The following is a 10,349-nucleotide window of genomic DNA, read 5'->3' on the forward strand; positions in this document are numbered from 1 at the left end:
AGGCAACCTACAGAATGGGAGAACATTTTTATAATCTACCCATCCGACAAAGGGCTAATATCCAGAATCTACAATGAACTCAAACAAATTTACAAGAAAAAAATCAAACAACCCCAAGTGGGCAAAGGATACGAACAGACACTTCTCAAAAGAAGATATTTATGCAGCCAATAGACACATGAAAAAATGCTCATCATCACTGGCCATCAGAGAAATACAAATCAAAACCACATTGAGATACCGTCTCACACCAGTTAGAATGGCGGTCATTAAAAAGTCAGGAAACAATAGGTGCTAGAGAGGATGTGGAGAAACAGGAACACTTTTACACTATTGGTGGGACTGTAAACTAGTTCAACCACTGTGGAAGACAGTGTGGCAATTCCTCAAGGATCTAGAACTAGAAATACCATTTGACCCAGCCATCCAATTACTGGGTATATACCCAAAGGATTATAAATCATGCTGTTATAAAGACACATGCACACGTATGTTTATTGCAGCACTATTCACAATAGCAAAGACTTGGAACCAACCCAAATGTCCAACAATGATAGACTGGATAAAGAAAATATGGCACATATACACCATGGAATACTATGCAGCCATAAAAAAGGATGAGTTCATGTCCTTTGTAGGGACATGGATGAAGCTGGAAACCATCATTCTCAGCAAACTGTCGCAAGGACAGAAAACCAAACACCACATGTTCTCACTTATAGGTGGGAACTGAACAATGAGAACACATGGACACAGGGAAGGGAACATCACATACCGAGGCCCGTTGTGGGGTGGGGGGAGGGGGGAGGGATAGCATTAGGAGATATACCTAATGTAAATGACGAGTTAATGGGTGCAGCACACAAACATGGCACATGTATATATGTAACAAACCTGCATGTTGTGCACATGTACCCTAGAACTTAAAGTATAATAATAAAAAAAGAAAAACAAATATTAAAAAAAAGAAATTGAAGTAATAAAATGTTTAAGAAAGGCAAATGAAACCAAAATAATCGAGGCTCAGTAAGGTTAATTATTTGCAAAACTGCATAGATCATAAGATGCCAAGCCAGCATCAGAATATAGTCAGTCTGGCTCCTGGGCCTGTACCTTAACCCCTTCCCCACAACACTGCATGTGTATCCAGATGCAGTCATACATGCAAACACAGAACCTTAGGGATGTCAAAGGTCATCACTTCTCCTTCCAGGTAGGCACACACAAGTGTAAACCCAGAAGTGCACAAGAGTACATGCATGTAGCTAGAGTAGGCACACACATGTAGAGTATACATGTGCATGAAAAAAACACCTTATATAGGGTGCACACATGTGTATGGAAACACACATGTGCATAGGGTATACATATGTGCTTGAACAAACCTCCACCCCTGCTGCTGCATGGCTCTAATTCCCTTCCCAGGTGTAAGAGGCTACACCTCTGGAACCTAGGTTCCCCATAGTAATGTTCTTCACCCCTGGGAAGACCACAGCGCCAATCCCCTCAGGGCACTGGTATGCATAGAGGACAGGCCCCTGGATCTCCCTTTCTTTTTTTTTATTTTATTATTATTATACTTTAAGTTTTAGGGTACATGTGCACAACGGCAGGTTTGTTACATATGTATACATGTGCCATGTTGGTGTGCTGCACCCATTAACTCATCATTTCTCACTGTAGGTGAAGCACTGTCACATTTCTGAGGCTATATCTGCACTTCAAGAGGCCACCTTCTTCAGAGACTCAGAGCCCAAATGTAACCCTCTGGCAGCCCCCAAGCCTATTCAGGCCTCTGAATCTCCTGTCACGCCCACAGGTAGGCAGGCTGAGAGGTCTTTGGCAATGGGAACCCCGGGATCAATATCTTCATATAATCTTCTTCCCTTTTCCTGATTTTTTTTCCTCCATCTCAAAAACCAGGAAATGTCTCTCTCTATATTTTTCTTCTTGCTCCCTTTGATAAAATATCAGACATTTAAAGTACTTATTCTATGCAAGACACTGTTGTAGTCATTAGTCCCTGCCCTTAAAGGGTGCAGCCCACATTCTGCAACCTGAGACCCACGGGACTATCTCCTCCAGGGAAACTGAGTTGGCAGAGGAACAAATAAACAAGAACGTCTGGACAATAAAGAGATTGAAAGCACACACTTGGAGCTGGAATCTACCACCATCTGGCTGCGTGTCCTTAGGCAAGTCACTTTGCTTCTCTGTACTTCACTTTTGGTACCTGTAAAATGGAGTGTTGTAGAAACTAAATGACTTCATGTATATAAGGTTCTTAGAGCAGTGCTTCCATGTGTAAGTGCTGTTTAATTGCTACCCATTACATTACCATAATTGAGACTATTCATGGGAAGGAGCTGTAATAAAGTGGGTATCTCTAGACCAGAAACAACCAGATGGGGCTTTCTCAGCTCAGCTGAGGAAGACAAGATTTGTTTTCAGCAAATCCCAGTTGAAGTACCTCTGGTGGATCTGATGGCTACCAAAGGTATGTTGAGACCGAGCAAAGGCAATTATTCACAAAAGGAATCTCAATAGGCATATTTTAATCATTCATTTGCCTAGAATCTAGAATTTTAAATCTGGGAAGGGCAAGGTAATTCATCTGAACAACCTGCCATTACTAGCATAGAAATGAGGCAGATTGCTATGGGATAGGACTCCATGAACTCATGGCGGAGCTGAAACCAGAAACGTGTCCCCTGACTTTCAGCCCTGTGTTCAGTGGAATAGCCATAGCAAAACCCAGTTATAAGGTGCTCTACTCACCATGGGAATCAGAAATGGTTGTGAGGGAATATGCCAGGCTGGATTTAAGATTAGGGAGTGCCACAAGGCACAGAGGACCAGATAGGTAAGGAGAAAACTATGTCAGTGAAGGAACATGGTGTCTCCAGCAGAGAAGATATTCGAGCAACTAGACAATCTCTTGGGGACTCACGGGTGGATGAGATGACCTGGAGATTCACATTTCACCCTCACATTTCTGTAGCACAGTTAATTTTGGAGATGTCTCGTTTCTACTACCTTAAGGTATCAAAATAAGTTCATCAAATTTAATAAATATGCCAGTCTGGTGGGGGGTGTGGATAGTCACGGAGTTTTGTTTTGTTTTGTTTTTTCCTGCTAAACTAGGCAGGAAATTGGAAATTAAGCTAAGATACCACCTTCTACGGAGCCAACCTCATCAATGACAAAACCGCAATAACTTTTGCACCAACCTAATAGATCTGTTCCATGAGGAACTAGGCCACTTCTGCATATTCTGAGCTCCCTATCTCCGGAATGCTGAAAAGGCAAAGGTGGAAGGCACAGGGATCTAAAGCCCTGTGACTCCAAGGCAAGCAAAGCTCCCCGATAATCCACATTGCTAGACTCCTCCTTATGACCCAGGATATGTAGCCTGTCGTTTCTGCGTTTACAGCTGCACTGATGAATACCGACTAGTCACAGGTACGTGAGGCACCAGAAAACAAACTGACAACTTGAAATTTTAACTCATTAAATTATTGAGAAAGACAGAGACAGAGCCAGGCATCCCAGAAACTAGTGATTCCAAGAAGAAAGACAAAACCAACAGTGGAGTGGAATCTAGCTGAGAACAGCCTGAGCCGGAGGAACTGGGTTCAATCCCGGATCTGAGGGACTTAAGATGTCCAGAAGAGCTTTCAACCTAAACTAAGCAGGAAATGGGAAATTAGGCTGAGATACCACCTTCTCTGGAGCCAAGAGACAGGAGGTAAAGCTCTAATCTAATAGAGGAGTAAAAACTAGGCAGAAAACAGAGATTTCAGAGAACTGAAAAGAGAAAGACTCAACCTAAAAATAACCCTGCAGAATCCCTAAATGGGACATACCGCTGAAAGGGGCCTATGCACTCAACACTGCCAATCCGGGTGTCTTACAGGTACCTTAAGGTATCAAGGTATTCTCAGACTCCCAATGAGGAGAGAGTAGAAAGGGAGAAGCTGGATTTTCAAAAACATGTGCCCAGCTGGGTGTGGTGGCTCATGCCTGTAATCCCAGCACTTTGGGAGGCAGAGGCAGGCGGATCACCTGAGGTCAGGAGTTTGACCCCAGCCTGACCAATATGGAGAAACCCCTTCTCTACTAAAAATACAAAATTGGCCAGGCATGGTGGCACATGCCCATAATCCCAGCTACTTGGGAGGCTGAGGAAGGAGAATCGCTTGAACCTGGGAGACAGAAGTTGTGGTGAGCTGAGATCGTGCCATTGCACTCCAGCCTGGTCAGCAAGAGCAAAACTCCATGTCAAAAATAAAATAAAGTAAAATAAAAATAAAAACATGGGCCCAGGAGAGATCCTAAGGTCAGGTACTGGTGCTGCAAAATCAGAGAACTGTTGTTGATTCAAGATCTGAGAGAGCTGAGGTCCAAAGTCCCCTATAGCCTGTCCTCTCTGAAGTCTAGGAGGAGAGGAGAGGATATGACTTTGTGGAATGGGAAGCAGAAATGGGAGTAGGAAGGAAGGAAATTGAAAGGATTCCAATACGTAGGAGCGAAGGATAGAGTGGAAGAAGTGGGTCAGCAAGGAGGCTGAAGGCACTTGGCAATAAGACGACCTCTGTTGGCAGAGGACACACCAGCTTAGTTCCCTACTACACATGTACAGTTTGAGGAAGAGGTGTGATAGAGCAGTTTAAAACATAATTTGCAGTCAGTGTGCCTGGGTTTGAATCCTAGATATACCACTCACTGTGACTCTCTGAATTTCAGCCTCCTTTGTTATAAAGAGGGACATAGTGGTACTTAAAACATAGTGTTATTGTGAGAATTAAATGAGACAAATGTTAAATACAGACTCTGTCTAATAAATGTTAGCTGCATTTTTCCAGTTTAGTCACTTTCCAACTGTCTTTGCTTATTTAGGGAAGCAGAAGCATGGATAATGGGTAGCTTTCCACCAGCACACTGCCCACCCAGCATTGTTAATCCAATTTGGGAAGTGCATACTTGCTGCTAGTGTGTACTCCCTGGTTTCATGTGGACCAGTGGCTAAGAGAAGGACACTACACAAATGATGAGGAAGCAAGGAAAGGAGAAATAACCTGAGATGACAAATGTCCACAATGTGAAAATTCCAATAGAGAAAGATGAGAAGTATAGAAATAGTCCACATTTCCTGTCTATCAAGGAAGAGAGTAAATACCTTTTCAGGTGAGATGATGTGATTTTTTTAAACCTTATAGAAATTTATATTTATTAAATCCCTCAACATTTCTTTTTTTTTATTTTAATGGCATATTTAATTCAGTGAGTACATGTAGAATTGGCATCCTGACATTTTCTTTAATTTTCTTTATTATTATTATTATTATTATACTTTAAGTTTTAGGGTACATGTGCACAATGTGCAGGTTAGTTACATATGTATACATGTGCCACGCTGGTGTGCTGCACCCATTAACTCGTCATTTAGCATTAGGTATATCTCCTAATGCTATCCCTCCCCCCTCCCCCCACCCCACAACAGTCCCCAGAGTGTGATGTTAAAAGGCTTAGAAAGACTCCCAGGCCTTTCTGGTTCTTCCCACCACTAACAAGACTCATCATTAAAATGTCATTTCTCTAGCTTATTGTTTGAGCAATAATACTAACCACGTGTATTAGGGTTTGACAAACTGTCACTCAACTGTCACTTGAGTCTCCAAATGACAGTGGCAGGCGGGGAAGAACAGCACACACACAAAAATCAGCCTCTACCCCACACACACACCCCATCTTATTAATAGATATACAGAACTGTAATGACTTGCCCAAGACATGAGAAAATATACAATGTTGTCAGATCCAGTTAAACGGGAAGGGACTAAGCTACTACCTCTGAGGCAAACATCACACTGATCTTAGAAACTCCAAGTTCAAGTCCAAAGGAAATCATAGCCCTTCACCCCCAGCAAACACAATGTCCCAGGAGTGAGGCTGAAAGAGACAGAGAAGAAACTGGGGAAAGAGTCCAGAGAGTCAAATAGATACATTCCCCAGGAGTAGGATGAAGGGTAGTTATCTCGGGTTGTAAGTATCTATTAAGATTTTCAATGTTTATAAATTCCAACTTTGCAATTTGTATCTCAGAATCTATTCCACGCCTTAGAAATTATCTGATGAGTGCAATACACACAAAAACATCCATTGTAACAGTCTGTGGGGGATAGTATGGCTCCAATACAATATATAGTGTGCATATAGATCTATGGAGAGAAAAAGTTGGCTGGGGGATGAAATTGTTCAGAACTTTCACCCTTTTAATTATAAAATTCATGTAAAAAATCACGTGTTCATTATTTTTAAATACAAGCAATATAATCTTACCACACCAAAAAAATGATAACTATGTGAGAGAGCACATATGTTAAATAGCTCAATTTAGCCATTCCACAATGTATACATATTTCAAAACATCATGTTGTGCACTATAGATATATACAACTTTTGTCCATTAAATAAATAAATATATATGTAATATAAAGTTAAATGTGGAAGTTACTTCTCACACCAACCCACTTCAAGAGGCAGCCATATACACATAAACACACACACCAAAGTAAACACAATATATAAGAGTTATTTTTTGTTACAAAAATAGGATTATTCTATATGCATTGTTCTGCAACTTACTTTTGTCACTTAGTAAAACATCAAACAGTGGTATAATAGTGATGGCATCACTTGGCAATAAATGGCTCCAGCTCTGCCATCAGACTGCCTGAATTCAAATTTCAGCTCTACCACTTACTCATGGCGGGATCTGGTAAGTTACTCAACTTGGCTAAACTCTAACTTTTAATCTATAAAATTGGAATATAGTGCCTATCACTTAGGATTTGGGGAGAATACAGTGATTTTTAAAAACAGACAAAGCACCTAGCTCAGTATGTGGCATGTACTGAGTGCTAATAATTGTTGGCTAACATGAACCATCTTATTTCTTTAGAGAGTGCATGCTATTGAGTAACAGGAACTGCACCATAAATTGTTTAGTCTTTCACCTACATGTGCATATTGAGATTGTTCCCTCTATGGGTTGCTTTGTTTATTTGGTTGGTTTGGTTGGTATTACAAGCAACACATACTGTGTACTACACAAATATGACTACTTCTAAAGGATAGAGTGCTATAAGTAGAATCATTGGATAAAGAGATGCAGATTTCCAACTCTTGACAGAGATGGCCAAAAGGCCTACACTGATTCACACTTTCAGCATATGTGAAGGTCTATTTTCCTTTGGATATGATCCCCAAAAATGTAGTGCCAATCTGATAACTTATTTTTATTTGTGAGTTACAAAGAAGTTTAGGCTTATTTTTTCCCAAATGTTCCAGTTGTCATAAATAGCATTTATTTTATAGCCCATTCTTTTTCCATTGCTATGAAATAAATCTTTATTATATGTTAAGTTTAATATAGATCATGATCTAAATATAGGCATATAGATATACAAAATGCTTTATATTGGTCAGTTTTTTATTTTTCCCTATGTGTGTCATTATCTTATTGATTATCAATATACTGTGCTTTTATGTGGGGTTAAAAAAGTTTCCCATCATTATTCTAATGTTTCCAAAATAATGTTGTCTGTCTCTAGCCATGTAATACTCTAGATGAATTTTAGAATAATCTTTTCAACTTCCATTAAAAATTCCCTTCAGGTCTTATTAGAAGTACACTGAATTTTATTAATAAGGATTCATATTTTAAAATATAGTCTTCCTTTTCAGGAGTATAGTTCTCCACATATTCAGATATTCATTTTGTGTTCTATTATAGTTTCTTCTGATAGGTCTTACTCATTCTTTTATTTTGTCCCTCAGGTTAATTTCTAAGTATCACTTAGACTTTCTTGCCATTATCAATTGAAACCTTTTCTTCATTACATTTGTCTAATACAGAAAGATAATTAATACTTTTAGTTTTATAGCGCATCTGGCCACTGGTGAAATTGCCATAGGTTTTAAAAGATTTTCAAATAATTATCTTGAATTTTTTGGTACACAATCGTGCCACAAAAAAATGACATTTTCTTCTTTTTTAATGTTTATGCCTCCTGATGCTTTAGTTTTGCTTTGTTACTCACTCAGTCAACCATCTCAGCAATGTAGCTTAATATTGGTCATAGGGCTATCTTTGCCTTCTCTTTCCATGATATTGGTGGAAATAGGACTCTTACAGTCTATGTTTTATAGTCCTGCAATATTTGAATGTTGAGAATGAGGACTTCATAGTGTTTTAACCAGAAAAATTAATATATTCAAAGAACTAATCTTGCTTACATAGGCTATTTCTGGGAGTACTCTAATTTTAACTGGTATCCTTGGGCCAAAAGATGATAAAGCATCAGATCATATTAGCCAAAGAGAAATGCTTAAATAAACATTAGAAATGTTTTTCTGAAGATGAAAGAAAGTATTATCTGAATTCTGCAATTACCAAGGAGCCTTGATTAATTCTGTTGCTTAGTTTTGTTCTATCCCAACTACTACTACCATCTATGGACCTATGAGCAAGAGAGAATGCTGAAAGAGATAACTTCATTCATAGGGATTCCTTGTATGACAGCATTCTAATTCTAAGTAGAATCCAGCAACCTCTTCCCCGGGACAAAAAAGACAATAATAAGACTAAGGAGATGGTCAAGAAACAACCTCAGAATAATCTTTACAAAAGGAAATGAGAAGAACTCAAACAAATTAGGCCACATAGAAGTTCCTATGAGCACATGGAAAACCTTTAGTTTCTAATTTAGAAGACAGCTTGGCATCCTTTAACTTTTCTTTTGTTGAATTTTACTATCTGTTTCTATGTAGTTTCAGAATTAAATGTTCTTTCGAAGTATAATAGCAGTAAGATTTTTAAAATAGATTTGAGGTGGGGAAGAAGCTGTCTTGGTCAAACTGTCCTTTACATCTCTCCCATTGCTTCTCTAAACCCTATCCAGGAAGTCCAGAGACATGGAGACAAAGAATTATAGCAGCAGCACCTCAGGCTTCATCCTCCTGGGCCTCTCTTCCAACCCTAAGCTGCAGAAACCTCTCTTTGCCATCTTCCTCATCATGTACCTACTCACTGCGGTGGGGAATGTGCTCATCATCCTGGCCATCTACTCTGACCCCAGGCTCCACACCCCTATGTACTTTTTTCTCAGCAACTTGTCTTTCATGGATATCTGCTTCACAACAGTCATAGTGCCTAAGATGCTGGTGAATTTTCTATCAGAGACAAAGATTATCTCTTATGTGGGCTGCCTGATCCAGATGTACTTCTTCATGGCATTTGGGAACACTGACAGCTACCTGCTGGCCTCTATGGCCATCGACCGGCTGGTGGCCATCTGCAACCCCTTACACTATGATGTGGTTATGAAACCATGGCATTGCCTACTCATGCTATTGGGTTCTTGCAGCATCTCCCACCTACATTCCCTGTTCCGCGTGCTACTTATGTCTCGCTTGTCTTTCTGTGCCTCTCACATCATTAAGCACTTTTTCTGTGACACCCAGCCTGTGCTAAAGCTCTCCTGCTCTGACACATCCTCCAGCCAGATGGTGGTGATGACTGAGACCTTAGCTGTCATTGTGACCCCCTTCCTGTGTACCATCTTCTCCTACCTGCAAATCATCGTCACTGTGCTCAGAATCCCCTCTGCAGCCGGGAAGTGGAAGGCCTTCTCTACCTGTGGCTCCCACCTCACTGTAGTGGTCCTGTTCTATGGGAGTGTCATCTATGTCTATTTTAGGCCTCTGTCCATGTACTCAGTGATGAAGGGCCGGGTAGCCACAGTTATGTACACAGTAGTGACACCCATGCTGAACCCTTTCATCTACAGCCTGAGGAACAAAGATATGAAAAGGGGTTTGAAGAAATTAAGACACAGAATTTACTCATAGAAAGAACAAAATGTTGGCATGTCAAAATCAGGACATGACCTAAAAGATTATTATCAGTTTATCCTCCCTTCCTAACCCTTTTCCACATGGCATTCAAAGAGGTCATGAAAAGTGGTGTTGGATATCAGTAAGAGAATTAACCTGGGAGCAAAACACTCAGTTTCTTTATATATATATATATATATATGTATACACACACACACATATATATATACACACATACTTTAAGTTCTGGGATACATGTGCAGAACGTGCAGGTTCATTACATAGGTATACACGTGCCATGGTGGTTTGCTGCACCCATCAACCTGTCATCTACATTAGGTATTTCTCCTAATGCAATCCTTCTCCTAGCTCCCCACCCCCTGGCAGGCCCCAGTGTGTGATGTTCCCCTCCCTTTGTCCGTGTGTTCTCATTGTTCAACTCCCACTTA

The 10,349-nt window shown here is 40.2% G+C and overlaps 1 protein-coding gene across 1 annotated transcript; it reads left to right on the plus strand.

Moving 5' to 3' along the window:
- The first annotated feature begins 8,979 nt into the window (after window positions 1–8,979).
- On the plus strand, window positions 8,980–9,915 carry OR1L4 (olfactory receptor family 1 subfamily L member 4). The gene has a single exon (NM_001005235.1). It carries the CDS (start codon window positions 8,980–8,982, stop codon window positions 9,913–9,915), a length of 936 nt encoding a protein of 311 aa, NP_001005235.1.
- Window positions 9,916–10,349: the final 434 nt, after the last annotated feature.

The sequence above is a fragment of the Homo sapiens genome, chromosome 9 (genome assembly GCF_000001405.40).
Source record: "Homo sapiens chromosome 9, GRCh38.p14 Primary Assembly".
NCBI lineage: Eukaryota > Metazoa > Chordata > Mammalia > Primates > Hominidae > Homo > Homo sapiens.